Here is a 20413-nt window from a genome sequence, read left to right on the forward strand (position 1 = left end):
TACACTTTGATGAGAATGAGAGTAATGCCTTCCTTGAAAACAAGTTTAAAGAAGGTGAAATGAGGCCGGACACAGTGGCTCACACCTGTAATCCCGGCACTTTGGGAGGCTGAAGCAGGTGGATCACTTGAGGTCAGGAGTTCGAGACCAGTCTAGACAACATGGTGAAACCCCGCCTCTACTAAAAATACAAAAATTAGCCAGGCATGGTGGCAGTTGCCTGTAATCCCAGCTACTGGGGAGGCTGAGGCAGGATAATCACTTGAATCTGGGAGGCGGAGGTTGCAGTGAGCCGAGATCATACCATTTTACTCCAGCCTGGGAGACAGAGTGATACTCTGTCTCAAAATAAAATAACGTGAAATGTTGCATGAAGTCACTTGTACCTACCGGGAATGAGAAGGACACTCCACCAGAGGCCAAGGATCCGAGCTGCAGGCTGTACTTTTCACAGCTGTGTCCAGATGTAGAACCACACAGGCAGGTTACGTGGTTGGTGAAGACACATGCTTTGATCATGCCAAAGCCTGTAGCAGTTTGTAGGCAAAGAAGTGCTGTGAAAGCTGTGTCCTCCTGGTTTTTTCCTGGAAATAGCTCAGGGACAATGGAAGCTGCAAATTAATAGCCACACCTGCTTGACAGCAGCTGTGGTCTCCTGTGGGCTATAGGTTCTTAATGACTCCGCTAGTGAGGTAAGCATAGGGAATACAGTCCAGCATGAATGCAGAATCGTAAATGATACAGACTCAGACATATTATAGTTACATCTACATGAAAGCAAGTTATTTCTTTTTTCTGGGTCTCAGTTTCTTCATCTGTAATATGGGGAGAATAAATATCTTCCTTACAAATTTAAGTAATAACTGAGCAAAAAAATACATGTATGGTGTATATTACATTTCAATGGATACAGCAGGCACATAATAAGTGGTAGCAATGAAGCTATTTGCTTTGCTCTACCTTGGTCATGAATAACATGAATAATTGGTAAAGCCTCAGAAGAAGATGCTTATCAATGCTTTTGTGATTGCTCTCATCCCTATTTTCACTGGAAATAAAATAGCCCACATCGGTGACCAAACAGTGATTCTTTTTTTTTTTTTTTTTTTTTTTTTGAGATGGAATCTCGCTCTGTCACCCAGGCTGGAGTGCAGTGGCGCGATCTCCGCTCACTGCAAGCTCTGCCTCCCGGGTTCACGTCATTCTCCTGCCTCAGCCTCCTGAGTAGCTGGGGCCACAGGCATCCACCACCACGCCTGGCTAATTTTTTGTATTTTTTTTAGTGGAGACGGGGTTTCACCGTGTTAGCTAGGATGATCTCGATCTCCTGACCTCGTGATCCGCCCGCCTCAGCTCCCCCAAAGTGCTGGGATTACAGGCGTGAGCCAGCACGCCCGGCCAACAGTCATTCTTTACTATTCTTATTTGTGAACACTCACCTTGTGCTGCCATCTGGAGGCCAGGCTGGTAGAGAAGGGACTGGGTCCAATTTCAGGTCTACCGCTAAACTCAGCAGCTGTGTAAGCTCTGAAAAATGGCTTAACTTATCTGTGCCTCAGGCTCTTCATCAAACATCTGGCTTTTATCACAGGTTTGTTACAACCAGTAGAAACCACAGCTGGAAAAGTACTTTGGGGATGTGACTACAAGATACACAGCAGTAAACACGCTGCTGAGATATTCACCCAGACTCCCCATAAACAGAGAATGCTCTGGGAGAAGTTCAGAAGGAAAAACCCCGATTTCTGCAAGAAATCTAGCTGTCTTCTATGGGCTAAATCTACAGATTTACTCTTATTGGAGTTAATTCCATTTTCCCAGGAATAGGAGTAAAAACAATTTCATCAGGATCCTTAACTATAATTCTTCAAACATAACTGGTGCTTGTCAGCTAGTCATTGCTTAGTTGCTTGAATGTGCATGTTCACAGATACTAGTATTCCCGATTTAAATTTCCTCTCCTAGGCATCAACTACAAATTTTCTCCTCATTGCTCCTCAAGAGGGTGCATTTCCTCATGGAATTCAAGGCCACTATATTAATGGAACTCCAGGGGAAGGGATGGAGGGGTCACAGTCCTCCCCCTGCCTGTGGTCCTTTCGTCTCATTTTTTTTTTTAGAGCACATGAAGTTGGGCTGACACTGCTTTTGCTTCAGAATACACCCTTTAGCATTGTCATCATCACCATCCTTATAAAGTATCAATAAGTAGGAAATACTCTTCAAATCTTTGGTGAAAGTGGTCATATTTATTTTTCAACAAAAATGTTTGAGTTCTATATATCAGAATAGCATGACGTTTTCTATCTCTTGATTTGATTCTCCATTCTTTGAATTTTCCAAAAACCAAAAATTAGGTTCTAGGAGCACAAAAGAATATGAAAGTCATTCAGGCATACACACACAGTCACTATCACGAGAACAGCATGGGGGTAACTGCTTCCATGATTCAATTACCACCCACTGGGTCCCTCCCAAGATATGTGGGGATTATGGGAGCTACAATTCAAGAGGAGATTTTGGTGGGGACACAGCCAAACTGTATCTTTCTGCTCCTGGCCCCTCCCAAATCTCATATCCTCTCATTTCCAAACACAATCATGCCTTTCCAACAGTCCCTCAAAGTCTTAGCTCATTCCAGCATTAACCCAAAAAACCAAGTCCAAAATCTCATCTGAGACAAGGTAAGTCCCCTCTGCCTATGAGCCTATAAAATCAACAGCTAGTTAGTTACTTCCTAGATACAACAGGGGTACAGACATTGGGAAAACACACCTGTTTCAAATGGCAGAAACTGACCGAAACAAAGGGGCTACAGGCCCCATGCAAGTCTGAAATCCAATAGGGCAGTCATTAAACCTTAAAGTTCCAAAATGATCTTCTTGGACTCCATGTCTCACATCCAGGTCACGCTAATGCAACAGGTGGGCTCCCATGGCTTTGGGCATCTCCACCCCTGTGTGGCTTTGCAGGGTACAGCTCCCCTCCTAGCTGCTTTCATGGGCTGGCGTTGAGTGTCTATGGCTTTTCCAGGTGCATGCATAGTGCAAGCTGTTGGTGGATCTACCATTCTGGGGTATGGAGGACTATAGCCCTCTTTTCTTTGCTCCACTGGTCAGTGCAACAGTGGGGACTCTGTGCGGGGACTTCAACCCCACATTTCCCTTCTGCTCTGCCCTAGCAGAGGTTCTCCCACAAGGGCTCCATCCCTGCAGTAAACTTCTGTCTGAACATCCAGGCATTTTCATACATCCAGCCAAAGTTTCCTGAACCTCAGTTCTTGTCTTCTGCATACTCACAGAACCAACACCATGTGGAAGCTGCCAAGGCTTGGAGCTTGCACCCTCGGAAGCAATGGCCAGAACTGTACCTTGGCCCCTTTTAGCCATGGCTGGAGTGGCTGGGGTGCAGGGCACCAACTCCAGAGGCTGCACACAGCAGGGGGCCCCTAGAACTGGCCCAGGAAACTATTTTTCCCTCCTAGTCTTCCAGGCCTGTGATGGGAGGGGCTACTGTGAAGGTCTCTGACATGCCCTGGAGACATTTTCCCCATTGTCTTGGTGATTAACATTTGGCTCCTCATTACTGACGCAAATTTCTGCAGCCAACTTGAATTTCTTCCCAGAAAATGGGCTTTTCTTTCCTACTGCATCATCAGGCTGCAAATTTTCTAAACTTTTATTTTCTGTCACCACTTGAATGCTTTGCTTCTTAGAAATTTCTTCTGCCAGATACCCTAAATCATCTCTCAAGTTCAAAGTTCCATAGATTTCTAGGGTAGGGGCAAACAGCTGACAGTCTCTTGCTAAAGCATAGCAAGAGTGACCTTTACTCTAGTTCCCAACAAGTTCCTCATCTTCATCTGAGATCACCTCAGGCTGGACTTCATTGTTCATATTACTATCAGCATTTTGGTTAAAGCAATTCAACAAGTGTCTAGGGAAGTTCCAAACTTTCCCACATCTCCCTGTCTTCTGAATCTTCCAAGTTTCTAGGAAGTTCCAAACTTTCCCCATTTTCCTGTCTTCTTCTGAGCCCTTCAAACTGTTTCAACCTCTGCCTATTACCCAGTTCCAAAGTTGCTTCCATGTTTTTGGTATCCTTATAGTAGCGCCCCATTCCTGGTACCAATTTGCTGTATTAGTCCATTTTCATGCTGCTATGAAGAAATACCTGAGACTGGGTAATATATAAAGAAAAGAGGTTTAATTGACTCACAGTTGCACGTAGTTGGGAAGGCCTCAGGAAACTTACAATAATGGCAGATGGGGAAGCAAACATGTCCTCATTCACATGGTGGCAGGAAGACGAAGTGCCAAGCAAAAAGGGAAAAGCCCCTTGTTAAACCATCAGATCTTGTGAGAACTCACTCACTATCACAAGAACTGTATGGGGGTAGCCACCCCCATGATTCAATTACCACCTACCAGTTCCCTCCCGTGACATGTGGGGATTATGGGAGCTACATTTCAAGATGAGATTTTGGTGGAGACACAGCCAAACCATATAAGGTCTCCTAGGGAAGACAGAGGCCTTAAAAAAACATGGGTAAAGAAATCGAAATATCCATGAAGTTCGTATGTGGTTCTCTGAGGAGGTGAGCTATGAGATAATAAATAAATAATAATAAATATATGTTTACATAAGGTGTCATGTTTCTCCAGGATTCATGTCTTTCAGAACCTGAAGCATGGTAACAGGTGATGTGCTGAGAAGAAAAGGAACTTCACTATCTAGAAGTCTCACCCAATAGCATCTTCTACCACTGAATTTAGAGCTCTCCTGGGCCAGCAAGTAACCACTTCCACTGAAAATCCTCAGACCTGGCCTGTTAAAGACAATAAAAGTGAACAAAACCCTAAACTGTACCAAGATCCACGATGAAAACATGACGCACAATCAGTTTGGAGCCAATGGCCTCTTGAAGTATGAGAGATCAACCTCAGTGTGTCTAGACTGTGTAATGCCATCTTATCCCCATGTATCAGGAATTAGCAGAAGACTCTAGTGAATAATCTCCTTGTTGTAGGCAAAGATACTTGTCCCCTGAGATGACCCATGATGAACAGGGATATGATATCCATGGACATCTTGGCCTACTTGATTATTTTTTAAATGTTGTATCATTGTGTATTGACTATTTATCATGGCTAAGGTTAGAGAACAGAGAAGAGAAGGCAAGGGCATGGCAGGAACTGAGAAATTATGCTTTAACAAGGGAAAGTCAAATGGTCTCCTTTTTTAGGAAAGCATCCTAGTATGCTCCCCTGCCATCCTACTCCTTCTGACTCTGACTACCCCGTAATGTTTATTGTCACCACTAACAATGTATGTCTCTAGGGTCTGGCAGACCTCAAGAAAACAGTGAAAATTCCAATATCAATTACTCACAAATAAATGGGTTTTGATGGAATCACGAAGTTGGGCTTATTACTGGCTCCTTTTATGTGCAATGATTAAAAAGCCAACAGGTATATCAAGACACTAAAAAAGCAATGGCAATCCTTGACTTGCTACATGCAGGAAAAAGATGAGAAAAAAATAAACTTAAATTATTAGCTCGTTGCACAGAGACTTCTGGCTGAGAAGTTCAAATTCAAGCTAATCCACCTGTTTCCAGTGTGCTGGAGAAAGAGAGATATTCCTTGTCTCCGATTTATTATGTGTTCTTGTTTTATATGGGCTTTGTAGGTGGTCTCTGAACTTTCATTGCCAGGTAAGATGAGACCTATTGGCAGTAGAGCCCCATACATTTGGTTTGGAGCAATGGAAGTAGTGTTGAACTAGGAGACAGGAGACCTGGGTCCTTATCCTGCCCCTGTTTTTTATTAGCTGTGTGACCTGGCATAAATTGCTTAATATCTCAGGTCTCTATTTCATTTTATAAATGAGGAAACTGCTTCCTGACTTCCTGGCCTTACAAGGTGGTTTTGAGGTAATTAGGTAACATGAATTAGGAAATTAGGTAATGTGAATTAAAGCACTTTTGTTTAAGCACTTTGAACAAAAAGGATGCAAGCAGTTAACACATTCAAGGACTCATTACTGCAGATAAAAATTGGCTCTGGGCTTTTCTTGTAACTCCATTCAGGGCATGCTGCCAAATCTAACAAAAGCAATCAATTCCCAAGCACCATTTTAAAGACTCACATTCACATACACTCTGCCTTTTGACCTCACCTCTATACTAAAACTGGTTTCCTGAAGGTCACCAATGATTTTTCTAATCATTTAACATTGACTTTTCCTCAGTTTCTATCCTCAACCTCTCCATAGCTATGATGCCACTTGTCATCTACTCCTTGAAATTTCCTTCCACAGGTGAACCTGAACTCTTCAAGCTCCTCTCTGGTGTCTTTAACTGATTCTTCTCCATTGATTTCTTTTTCTATTCCTCAAATATAGGCATTCTCCCAGGTTTTGTTCTTGTTCCCCTTCTCTAAGTCCTTGGCAATTTCTTTTATTTCAAGTCTTTAAGTTGTGCCACGGTGCCCCTCAGAACCACCATGTCCATTTGATGTCAGCATCATCATCCCTTCCATGATCTACACACATGATCATGGCTCATTATATTCTTAGTCACAGAGGTGAGAAACTTCATTTAGTTTGGTCTTATGCCTCTGTCCCACTGTGATTAATGCTGCCAATATTCCTCCAAAATATTCTGACTGCCCCCTCCCATCTAGGCCCTAATAATCTCTCACCAAGAGTCCTTTAAAACCTCCAACCTATGGGAGTAATCATCCTTAAAGCAGAGCTCCAGTCATTTCTGATGACTCTGTTTTTCACACATATTCTCCTCTGACTTCCCCATCCCATACAGGGCATCATAGCCTGGTAACTGTATGTTCCCCTCACCTGAGCTTCAACCTACCTGTTGGGGGATGCATTCATGACTTCCCCACATATGTTCAGGATTCCAACCAAACTTAATTTTGTAACCCCAAACACCCAATATTTATCACACAAGTAATAAATGAATGAATGTATGTGTATTCAGTTTCCTTCATTTCTTGTGTCTGGGCATATTTTTTTCTACTTACTCCATCAGTGACAACATTTCTGGTCATTTCTATCTCTCAAAACCCTATTGATTACAAGACTCAGTACAAATGCCCCTCCTTCTTAAAGCTTTCCCTGATCCTATCCACCAACGTAATCACTCTCCCTCTAGGATTAGGGTGTTATTCCATGGTCATATGGTACTGGCTACAGTCCATTTTATTCCTAGGTGACTTTCCTAGTCCTCCTCTTAGGTCAAGTACGCTCTGAAAGGTGAAACCATGCCTTTTTCATTCTTGTCACCCACAATGTCGTGCATACTGCCTTATATGTAGTCGAATTAAATTGAATGATATTGCTTAGGGAAGCTCTCAATTTTGGTTGATTTAAAACTAGCTCTTAAGCTATTAAAACATGAGCAGAATTATTGCTTTCCCAGGTCAGACCCATTATCTCTAATAATATTCAATTGCCTTCCTTGGGTCTGTGTTACTTAACTGAAGCTTACTGAGCACAAATGTTCACCAAAAATCATCATAACTCTCACAGAAATTCTTTAAGTATAAAGTTATCTTCACTTTATAAATGTGGAAACTGAAGCTCAGAGAGGTTAAGTAAAATTCAAAGATCACACAGCTAGAAAATGGCAGAGTTGAGATTTGAGCTGCAAATGATGTGAACTTAGCCTTGACTATATAATAAATATTAAGGCCAGATATTTATCTGGCTGCATCCAAGTTTTTCTCCCTAAGCCAAATTAACTTGTTTATCCATGGATCTTAATTTAGCCTCTTGCAAATCAATGTCTATTTTTAACTTGTGCTACCTCTTGTTTTCATGAGTTGAGTCTTGTCCTAATCTCCTTTGGCTTAGATGCAGCCTTTTGGAAAGTGTTGCTATGTCTTAATGTACTCAGCTGTTCGTTGAAGTGGATAAAGCCATAGATGTTTACAGTGGCAGCTGTCTGCAAATTCCTGCCATGTTTAAAAAAATAACTTAGAAAACTAGGCTCCTGGGGCCAGAGAAGCATGTGTAATTTATTGTATGATGGAAAATACTTTAGGAAGCTCAAGAGGCAAAAGAAATCTTTTCACCTACTTCCTGCAGGAGCTCCAAATGGCCAGGCTTATATTTTTCCAGTTGCAAAGGCAGACTTTTCCCTCTGAAAGTCACAAAGGCCTTTGTGGTAACTATGAATTGATGGAAAACACACTGAAATAACTCTCATGCTTGTACTGCTTGCTTTCTATAAATCTGATGAGCAATGACCCCTAGCAATGACATGTTATTTCAAAATAAAGCCATCAAGTCCATCAAACAAACATTTATTGAGCTGCTACTCTGTGCCTATCTCAGGTTATGGTTGGGGCATGCTCTGGGCTTCCTAGAATCAGGAAGTCAAATACGTAGCAAATGTTCAATAATCATGTTAAATTGAAGTCAGCATGGCCTTGGAACTCAAGTGTTTGCTCTGAAATAGCCTTTATTTTTTCACATAAAAATGGGAGAGGTAAACCAGGTAATCCAAAGGTCCCTTTCAATTTTTAAACAACAAAACAAAAGAATGTTTTCAAAAAGTATTCTGTACTCTGATGGCCTAATCAATGAGGCCATACAGAATGCATAATCCTATGAATTGTATATAGATACATCATACAGGATGGTGAATTAGCCATGCAGATGATTCCAGTGTAGTAATTAGAGCCAATACAGGCTGTAGTCAACAATATATAATTTAAATAACCAGTGAGAATAAACAATGGTAAAATGCATCATTTAGTACATTTAGCAAGAGAAAATATAAAATACCCAGGAATAAACGTGCATGAAGGATGAAGAATCTATGTTGACAAAACTATACTGTGGGATGTAAATAAGATGAAAAATGGAAAAACCCAATATGTTCTTGAATAAGAAGTCTCAATTTAGTTAAATAAATCTGTAAGTTGAACTCCATTTGGACTCCTTTTGGGAATATAATTAAAGTTAAATTAAAGGTGACTCATAAGAATGACATGTTTGAGAATACCCAAGCATTTTTGAAAAGAAGAATAATGACAATAGGTTTCCCCCCAACAAACATCTCATTGTGTTATAAAGCTACAAAAATCAAAAGAGTTTGGTATTGTTATCAGAAAAGACAGATAGATCAATAGAAGAGAATGGAAATCCTAAAAAGCATATATTCCTGGAAAAATTTACTATGTAAGTTAAAATCAGCAGATATACCAGTCAGACTAGGCTAAGGCAGGTAACAAATTATTCCCAAACTCAATAGATTAATACAGTTGACCCTTCAACAATGCAGGGATTATAGGTGCTGACCGCCACACAGCTGAAAATCTACAAATAAACTTTGACTCCCCAAAACTTAACTACTCAAAACCTACTGTTTACTGGAAGTCTTACTAATAACAAAAACAATTGATTAGCACATTTTTGTATATAATATGTATTATATACAGTATTCTTACAATAATGTAAGCTAACAATTTTTTGAGAAAATCATAAGGAAGAGAAAATATAGTTATTATTCATTAAGTAGAAGTACATCATCCTAAAGGTCTTTATCCTTGTCACCTTCATGTTTTGTAGGCTGAGGAGAAGGAGGAAAAGGAAGAGCTGGTTTTGCCATATCGTCTAATGTCAACTATTTTCTGGTACTGCTTCTTCTATGTCTTCTTCCTCATTGCCTGATACTGGTTTGGAAGCACTTATCTCTATCAAGTTGTCTTCTGCTAATTCCTTTGATGTGGTGTCTATTAGCTCTTGAATTTTTTTTTTCCCAAGATCCATATTTTGAAACTCTGCACCTCCCAGCTTTTTTTGGCCATATCCACAATCTCTTTCATGAATTTCTTGATGACTTTGCTGTAAATCCTGTGATATCATGCACAACATCTGGATACAGTTTTCTTCAGCAGAAATTTATTGCTTCAGGTTTGATAGCATTCCTGGATTTTTTTTTTCAACAATGATGCCATTTTCAGTGGTGTAATTCTTCCAGACTTTCATAATGTTCTTTCTATCGGGGTTCTCTTCCATAGCATTAACATATAGTACCATGTGTAATGAGCCTTAAAGATCTTTATGACCCTGATCTAGAGACTGAATTAGAGATATTGTGTTTGGGGACAAGTATATCACTTTGATGCCTTCGGCATCTGGGTGGCCAGGGGAATTATTCCATATCAAAGGGACCTTAAAAGGCAGTCCCCTACAAGCAAGATATTTCCTAACTTCAAAGACAAAGCATCGATAGAACCAATTCAGGAAAGGGGTTCTCATTGTCCAGGCCTTCTTGTTGTACAACCAAGAGACTGGCAGCTGGTGTTTCTCTACTAACTTCAAGGCTTGGGATGTTAGCAGGTTTATAGATCAAGCTGCAGTCCTGATCATAAGCCTGAGTACATTTGCCCAAAGCAGTAGAGTTAGCCCACCCCTTCCTGCCTTAAATCCTGGTGCTCACTTATCTCCCCACTAATAAATGTCATTTGTGGCTTTTTTTTTTTCCCCAGAATAGGACACTTTGTCTGCATTAAAAACCAATTCATATATCCTTTTTTCTCAATGATTTTTTCAACAGGGTCTGGGAACTCATCTGCTGCCTCTTGGTTGGCAGAAGCTGCTTCTCCTGTTATCCGGATATTTTTTAAAGTAAACCTCTTTCTAAAATTATCAAACTATCCTTTGCTGGCATTAATTTCTCAAGCTTTAGATCATTCATTTTCCTTTTGCTTTAAATAATGACTTCACTTTTTCTCAAATCATATTAGAATCTATAGGCATGCCTTTCTTATTGCAATCCTGCCCCCACATAAAAGTTGCATTTTCAGTATGACAAAAAAAGGTATTTGCAAAAAGTAGAATATTTTTTCACCTGCTTGCATAACTACAGTGACAGCTTCATGGATTTCCTTTCCTTTTTTTTTTTTTTTTGTGATGATCCTTACGCTGGATTCATTTTTCCTAAAATGATGGACAACTGCAATTGCAGACCTCAGTTTATGTTACATAGCAAGCAATTCTTTTTCTTGTAATGTCATGACTTTTCTCTGCTTCTTGAGAGCAGTTCCAGTATCACTAGTGGCACTTCATATGATTACCATGGTGTTTTTCAAGGTTTAGGGTATTGCACTAAACACGAAAAATATGAAAGAAGCATGAGAGATCACTTTTTCCTTTGATGCATGATTTACTGGAGTGATGAACTGCTCACGTGGAGATGATTAGCTTCACACATTGTTTTATGCAGATACTTGCCACATGAGTTCACTACAGTAACTACAGGAGGTGGCTATGAAATTATTACCATAGTATAGCATGCACTATAGTTAATTTTACACAGTTATCATTTAATACTGCATCTTTACATTTGTTTACATTTCTCTCAATCAAGAATGGCAGCATGTACAGTCTAGTTTTATGTGACTAAGTTTTAATAAACTTTAACTTTTTATAATATATTTGTATATATTTTATGGCAGTAAATGATTAAGAAATGACCTACATATATTTTATGTGTTCTTGACATAGCTACCTTTTTATTACTTTTTTTGATATTTCAAGGCTATGTGGTTCATCTGTGCATTTTTTCAAATTGACACAAATCTCCGCAAAATTTTCCAGTATATTTTTTGGAAAAAATTTGCATATAAGTGAACCCATACAGTTCAAGCCTGTGTTGTTCAAGGGTAAACTGTACAACAAAAGTTTATATCATGCTCAATCTATATAACTCAGAGCAAATCACAGACTGAGGAAAGGAAAGGACTTTGCTCCACAGCATCATTAACGGATCTAGGCTGATCTCCACTATACTGTGGTTGAAACATTTTTAAATATATGACCCCCCTGATTGCAAGGCAAGAGGGCTAATAGAGATCTCATGCCTGTTATTAAATGTTTTTCCTGAATATAACAAACTTAAGAACTTAATGACCTGCAAGACAGCTGATAAATTGAGTAGGTAACGGATATTATGTGAGGAATGAATGTTTCTGCCACAATGGAGAATATGTGAATTACTTTTCAAAAAGTAGTGTATAGGTGAACTTTTTTTTTCCTGAATATGGCTTTATTTTTATTTTTGCTATGTCACATTTCTGAGCATTTTTAAATAAATTCTTTTTATTATTATTATTATTATACTTCAAGTTTTAGGGTACATGTGCACAATGTGCAGGTTTGTTACATATGTATACATGTGCCATGTTGGTGTGCTGCACCCATTAACTCGTCATTTAACATTAGGTATATCTCCTAATGCTATCCGTTCCCCCTCCCCCCACCCCACAACAGTCCCCAGTGTGTGACGTTTCCCTTCTTGTGTCCATGTGTTCTCATTGTTCAATTCCCACCTATGAGTGAGAACATGCGGTGTTTGGTTTTTTGTCCTTGCGATAGTTTGCTGAGAATGATAGTTTCCAGCTTCATCCGTGTCCCTACAAAGGACATGAACTCATCATTTTTTTATGGCTGCACAGTATTCCATGGTGTATACGTGCCACATTTTCTTAATCCAGTCTATCATTGTTGGACATTTGGGTTGGTTCCAAGTCTTTGCTATTGTGAATAGTGCTGCCAGGACATAGGCATGGGCAAGGACTTCATATCTAAAACACCAAAAGCAATGGCAACAAAGGCCAGAATTGACAAATGGGATCTAATTAAACTAAAGAGCTTCTGCACAGCAAAAGAAACTACTGTCAGAGTGAACAGGCAACCTACAGAATGGGAAAAAATTTTTGCAACCTACTCATCTTACAAAGGGCTAATATCCAGAATCTACAATGAACTCAAACAAATTTACAAGAGAAAAACAAACAACCCCATCAAAAAGTGGGCGAAGGATATGAACAGACACTTCTCAAAAGAAGACATTTATGCAGCCAAAAACACATGAAAAAATGCTCATCATCACTGGCCATCAGAGAAATGCAAATCAAAACCACAATGAGATACCATCTCACACCAGTTAGAATGGCGATCATTAAAAAGTCAGGAAACAACAGGTGCTGGAGAGGATGTGGAGAAATAGGAACACTTTTACACTGTTGGTGGGACTGTAAACTAGTTCAACCATTGTGGAAGCCGGTGTGGCGATTCCTCAGGGATCTAGAACTAGAAATACCATTTGACCCAGCCATCCTATTACTGGGTATATACCCAAAGGATTATAAATCATGCTGCTATAAAGACACAGGTATATAGGTAAACTTATTCAACATTTTGATTAGCTGATGAACATTTTCAGATAAACTAAAGCTAAGATAATCTGTTGTCAGAAAAAAAAAACCCAAAACCAAAGAAACCAAAAAATGCATTATAAGAAATGCTAAAGTAAGTTCTTCAAGCCGAAAGGACATGACAGCAGATGAAACATGAAATCTGGATGTACAGAAAGGAACAAAGAACATAAAAAATGTCAAGCACGTAGGTAAATTGTACATTTTCTTCTTCCCTTAATTTCTTTGAAAGACAATTGGTGGTTTAAAAATATTAACACTGCATTGTAGGGTTTGTAACACATGCAAATGTAACATATGACAATAGGCAAAGAACCATTCTTTTAATTCCTATAATTAGAAAGAATTACATTGTTGCAGGGTAGTTTTATTTTCTGTAAAATGATACACTATTAACTGTAAGTAGACTATGATAAATTATTAATACATTTGTAATCTTAGAGCAACCACAAAAAAGCTATAGCTAAAAGACAATGAAGAAATTAAAAGGGAATACTAAAATCTCTTCTATTAACCTTTTCAATTAAGAAGGCAGAAAATTAGCAATAGAGAAAGATCTACAACAGAAAGATAAGTCAAATACACAACAAATAACAAAACAGTAGACATAAACCCAACTGTATCAATAATTCCATTAAACATAAATGCCAAATAAAGAGACAGAGATAATCAAACTGGGTGAAAAATACAAGGACCAATTATATGGTAATGACTAAAAGATGCATATTAAATACAAAGATGCAGAGAGTTTGAAAGTAAAAACAGCGGAAAAATGTACCATACAATGGTAACCATAAGAAAGCTTGTGTGGCTATATTAATGTCAGGCCAAGTAGACTTAAAGATAGGGAATACAATCAGAGATAAAGAAGGACATTTTACAAGTAATAAACTGGTCAATTCATTAGGAATACTTAACAATCCTAAATGTATATGCATCTAATCATAGAGATTTTAAAAATATGTGAAGCAAAAGTAACCACCTCTAAAGAGGGAAACACACAGACACAATTATAGTTGGAGAATTCAAAATACCTTTCAGTAATTTATATAATGAGGAAAAAATCAACAAAGATATAGACAATTTGTGCATCAATGACTGCTGATGAAATATTCTTGTTAAGTGCATATGAAATGTTTACTAAAGTAGACCACATGTTGGAGTATAAAGCGAGTCACAATAAACTTTAAAAACTGAAATAATTATGGAGTATGTTTTCTGATGAGAAGAAAAATAAACTAGAAATAATAATAATAGTATGTTCTCAAACTCCCAAATATTTGGTTATTAAACAACACATTTCTAAATAACCCACTGGTCATGAAAAAAAAAATCACAAGGGAAATGATAAAAAAATTATGCATAACTTTCCATCAACAACATTAGATGAAATAATATAGATGCTCATCTATATTAGATGAACAAATATAGATGAAATCTATAAATATCTTAAACACAAAACTACCAACACTTATAAAAAATAGAAGAAATAGAGGATCTGTATATTTCTATATCTATTACAAACTAAATTTTTTTTAATATCTTTGTTTAAAAATACCTCAGGCTCAATGATTTCAATGTTAAATCCCATAAAACATTTAAGGAAGTAATATTATTTTTACACAATTTTTTTTTTGTAAAAGAGAGGAAAAAGGTATGCTTTCCTAGTTATTTTTAAAAGGCCAGCATAACTCCAATAGCAAAACCTGATGAAGATATTATAAGAAATAAAAATAAAAGAATAAGCCTCATAATTGTAGTTGTGAACTATTAACAAATGAAATACAAAAATATATAAAAAAGAAAATATAGCATTACCAAAGGACCTTTATCTCAAGAATGCAAGACTGAGCTACCATTTAAATATCAGTTAATGTAATTCACAACATTAGCAGAATTAATAGAGCATAGCTTTATAATGATACAATAGATGTAGGAAAAACAATTGTCAAATTAAACATTCATTTATTCTTTTTAAAAAAACTTCTCACTCTAGGAATAAAAAAGGAATATTCTCCATCTAATAAAGGGACCTACAAAAAAAAGGCAAAACAAAACACAATGGCCAATAAATACTTAGTGTTGAAAAATTGAACACTTCTTCCCAAGATCAGGAACTAAGCAAGGATATCTGCTCTTACCATTTCTATTCCATTTTATACTGGAGGTCCTAGCTAGTACAATAAAGTAAAAAAGAGTAAAGTCATAAAGATTGGAAAAGAAGAAGTAAAACTATCTTTATTCACAGGTAACATGATTGTTTATGTAGAAAATACTAAGGACTCTTTAAAAATACCCTGACAGAACTAATAAAATTATGTAGTAAATTTCTAAGATTCAAGGCAAGTATACAATAAAATAAATTTCTGTATATTAGCAATGGCAAGGGGTGAAAAATAAAATTGAGAGAAATAATTCATTTCTAAGAGTATTAAACATATAAAATATTTAGACATAATTACAACAAAAGATATGTAAGATGCCTCTACTGGAAACTAAATACATTGATGAGAAAAATAGCAGAAGACCTAATAAATGAAGAGACATACCATGTCTTAAATTAGAAGACTACATATTATTATTAAGATGTCCATTTTCTCCAAATTGGTCTATCAATATAAAACAATTCAAATCAAAATCCCAACACACTTTTTGGTAGAAATTGACAGGGTGGCTTAAAAATATATCTAGAAATTCACAGGACATTGAATAGCCAAGCAATTTTCAAAGAGAAAAAGAGTTGAAAACCCCACAATAGCTGATTTTAAGACTGTATAAAGGATATTGTAGACAAGTATGGGGTGGTATTGGCATTAGGAGAGATAAAATCATGAAAGGAACACAACAGAGTCCAGAAATAGATATACACATAAATGATCAATGACTTTTTACAAAAGCTCTAAGACAATTCAGGGAAGAAAGGAAAATCATTTTAACAAATGGACTGGAATAACTGGATAAGCATATGGAAAAAAATTAACCTGAGGCCCTACCTTACACCACACCAAAAAGTAATTTGAGATAGATTTGAGGCCTAATGGATAAAGCTGTTAACTCATAAAGAGAAGGAGATGTGAATGAAGGAGAGGAATTGTAACAGAGTCATGAGGATTTTAGAGAATGAAAGGACCCTGGAATCATTTTTTTCCACTTTGTAGATGACAAAACTGGCCCAGAGAGATAAACAATTTGTCCAACTTCACACTGGTCATGTATTTTGTTTTACATCAGTATTCTCATTTTATTTCTTCCTACATTTGAGGATTTTTCCAGAAAGCTAATCTTAATAGTGCCAGAGTAGCCTAACTGTATACCAAATCCAACTGTGAGAGTTTATTGACTGCATTCAAATCTAAGGCTGCCACACATCAATCAAAATAGAGAGTTAGGCAAATTAAAACTGCTGGTTTGATATATGGAAAAAAGCAGCTGAGAATGGGAGAGATGGTGCTCCATATCTGATTCATGACACATGATCTATCAATTAAAGAACCATTTAACAAATCATCTCCTACATTTCAGGGAGTTCCAGATATTCAACAAATGGTAAAACATTATTTCAATCCAGAATCTGCAGACATATTTTTAAAGTTACTTGGTGATATTAATAACTTTATGCAAAACACTTTATATATATGAATTAATTTAATCCTTATAAAAATCTGGCTGTTATGAATCTTTTTTTTTCCATTTTACAGGCCAGAAAACTGAGGTACAAAAAGGTTATTTTATCCATGCTTACAGGACTATTAGGCAGTGGGGTCAGGATTCAAAATCAGGTCTTCTTGATTTCAGAACTCAAATTATTATCCTTTCTACAGTACTGTCATATTATTACTACTAGTAGTACTACAACTACTACAAATGGACACTAGTTATTGAATTCCACTTATACTGGGTATACTAAACTATACATTATAGAGTATATATATTTGGTTATCCCTTGGTATCTGCTGGGGATTGGTTCTAGAATCTCCTGCAAATACCAAACACCATTGGATGCTTGTATTTGTCCATTTCACACTGCTGTAAAAATACTACCTGAGACTGGATAATTCATTTAAAAAGAAGGTTTAATTGACTCACAGTTCTGCATTGATGGAGAGGCCTCAGGAGATTTAAAATCATGGTGGAAGGTGAAGGGAAAGCAAGGCACATCTTACCTGGCGGCAGGAGAGAGAGAGAAGGCAAAAGGGGGAACTGTCGAACACTTTTAAAACCATCAGCTCTCCTGAGAACTCACTCACTATCACAAGAACAGCATGGAGGAGCCATCCCTATGATCCAGTCACCTCCCCACCAGGACCCTCCCCGGACATGTAGGGATTACAATTTGAGATGAGATTTGGGTGGGGACGTAGAGCCAAACCATTATCAATGCTTAAGTCCCTGATATAAAATGACGTAATATTAGCATAAAACCTACACACATCTTCTCATATTCTTTAAATCCTCTCTAGATTACTTATAATATCTAATACAATGTAAATGCTGTGTAAATAGTTGTTATGCTGTATTGTTTAGGGAATATGACAAGAAAAACAGTGCACATGTTCAGCACAGATGAATTTTTTAAAAATATTTTCTATCCACAGTTGTCTGCAGTTAGAAAGCATTAAAAAAATCCACAAATGCGGAACCCTCAACTATGGAGTGCCAACTGAATGTATATCTATATATTGATATAGCTATCATATTGATTATCTATCCATAATATATATTTTAATATATGTTATAAATATCACATATTATAGCTATAACATATTATATCAGATATATTAATATATCATATAACATTACATACAACATATGTTATAGATATTATATATTGTGATTATAATGTATAAAAACTAGATCAATAGATGCAATAGATATATGATAGATAAATGACAGCTATCTAATATATAGATCTATGTGACATAGATCTACATCAGATATAGATATATAGATATATAGATAAATATCTCATATATATATCTTAATTGCCTAACATCTCTGTTCTCTGTAGAAGAGGTTTACTGTTCCCACAAAGATGAAACTAAGATTCAGATAAGTTCATATATCTTTGTATTGTGAAGTGAAATAAGCCAGGCACAAAAAGACAAATATTTCATGATCTCACTTATACGTGAAATCAAAGTTGAGCTCATCCAAGTAAAGAGTAGTTATCAGAGGCTGGGTGGGAGGAGGGAATGGGGAATAGGAAGATGTTATTTGGAGGGTACAAAGTTTCAGTTAGGAGGAATACGTATTAGACTTCTATTGCATAGCCTGGTGAGTATAGTTAATAATAATGTATTGTATATTTCAAAATTGCTTAAAGAGATTTTAAATCTCTCACCACCAAAAACAATAAGTGCATGAGGTAATAAATATGTTAATTAGTTTAGCTTCATCATCCCACAATGTAAATATATATCAAAAGGTCACACTGTACCCCATAAATATACATAATTATTTATCAATTAAAAATAAAAAATCATAGAAGGTGAGATATTTACCCATAGTCAAGTAGCCAGTGAATGATATACCTAATACTTGAACCTAGATATATTTAGAGCCAAATTTAATGGTTCAGCCATTGCAACGACAGTCTTCCTGATATTTGAATCTACCATCTTTTATGGCACTGAATACAGTGCTTGATGAAACCTGAACAACTGAGGAAAACCAGATCAAGGCGCAATTTCCTGGATTTTAGAAGAAAACACTCCAGTACAGCCATCTGGCTTTCAAGATTGAACTTTCTCTGGGAAATGAGTACAACCATTCCCATCACCTGTACAATGCCAGGCACACAGGCATGATTGAAAACACTCATCTAATGCGAGGTGACAATACATTTATGTATATATGGTAGTCTAAGGAGTTGAGATTTCCAAATGGCTCACTCTATTTAGTTTTATCTAGAAATTTAGCATACTAAAGTAAATGAATGCAGCCTGCCTGGCTATCAAACCAATATCTTAATTCCAAAGCACCCAAATGTGTGTTATTTTTCTTTCTTTTTAATACAGGTCAGTGGTTCCAATTATGTCACTGATAAAGTCAAAGCCTTTTAAAATTAATGTTTCACATGCCCTCAGAAATTCAGTTTTTATTTTAATTTAAAACAGAAGTGTTTTTTTTAAAATCATACTTTAAATTCTTGGATACATGTGCAAGAACGTGCAGGTTTGTTACATAGGTATACACGTGCCATGGTGGTTTGCTGCACCCATCAACTCGTCATCTACATTAGGTATTTCTCCTAATGCTGTCCCTCCCCTAGTCCCCACCCCCAACAAGCCCCAGTGTGTAATGTTCCCCTCCCTGTGTCCGTGTGTTCTCATTGTTCAACTCCCACCTATGAGTGGGAACATTCGGTGTTTGCTTTTTTGTTCCAAAACAGAAATTTCTGTCTCTCTCCGTCTCCTTTTTTTCAGGGAGTTTCCTATTTGAAAGCAGTCAAGTCTATGTTATCATTATACTGAAAGTTTCTGAATGATTTTGAAAAAGATCAAAGTCCTTTGTTAATTGCTAAATATAAGATATTTAATCATTTCATTGTGATTTATTGGGTGAAAATATAACGTGACAGCCTTCTACAAAATTAATGTAATGGTAATAAGTGAATAAAGTAGCAAAATATAATAAGATTTTCAAATGTTAAATCAACATAGATTGTGGAGAAGTTTGTTAAATTCAGTAACTTACTTCTTTCTCTTTCTTGAGAATGTGAAATTTGTTCAGTTGACCCTGAGAAGAAAAATTGTGCTAATACAGACCTCTTGGTTGGCTCAAATACATCAAAACAGAAAGAGGATGCTATTTTGCTCTTCACAAAATCAAGAACTATTTTGTCAAACAACAAGAAGTTATTTGACTAGTTCTTTCCCTCCTACTGTCAGTAGTCAGGTAACAGTCAGCTGGGAATGTTTTACACGTCCTCTTCTTTCTTGTATTTTTAGTTTTGATATTTGAATCTATATAACTGAAAGCACACTCACCACAGTGTGCTAAATCCCAAGTGGATTTCCACGTTTCTTCACCAAAAACTTTATGAAAGCTAAGACTAATGTCTTTAAAATGGATTTTTGAATCACCTAGTCTTATATTTTGACAGGGCTATAGTTATATTATGACTTCAGTGGGCAATGGTTATCTCTCAGTATTTCTCCATT

General features: G+C 36.9%; 1 annotated feature.

Moving 5' to 3' along the window:
• Positions 19459-19674: a silencer, noted in NCBI's record as "fragment chr10:62968524-62968739 (GRCh37/hg19 assembly coordinates)". NCBI's record gives its function as "represses an EF-1alpha promoter that drives an FKBP-Casp9 reporter gene in an ReSE screen in K562 erythroleukemia cells {active_cell/tissue: K562}" and the evidence as "EXISTENCE:reporter gene assay evidence [ECO:0000049][PMID:32094911]".

The sequence above is a fragment of the Homo sapiens genome, chromosome 10 (assembly GCF_000001405.40).
Source record: "Homo sapiens chromosome 10, GRCh38.p14 Primary Assembly".
In the NCBI taxonomy this organism is placed as follows: domain Eukaryota; kingdom Metazoa; phylum Chordata; class Mammalia; order Primates; family Hominidae; genus Homo; species Homo sapiens.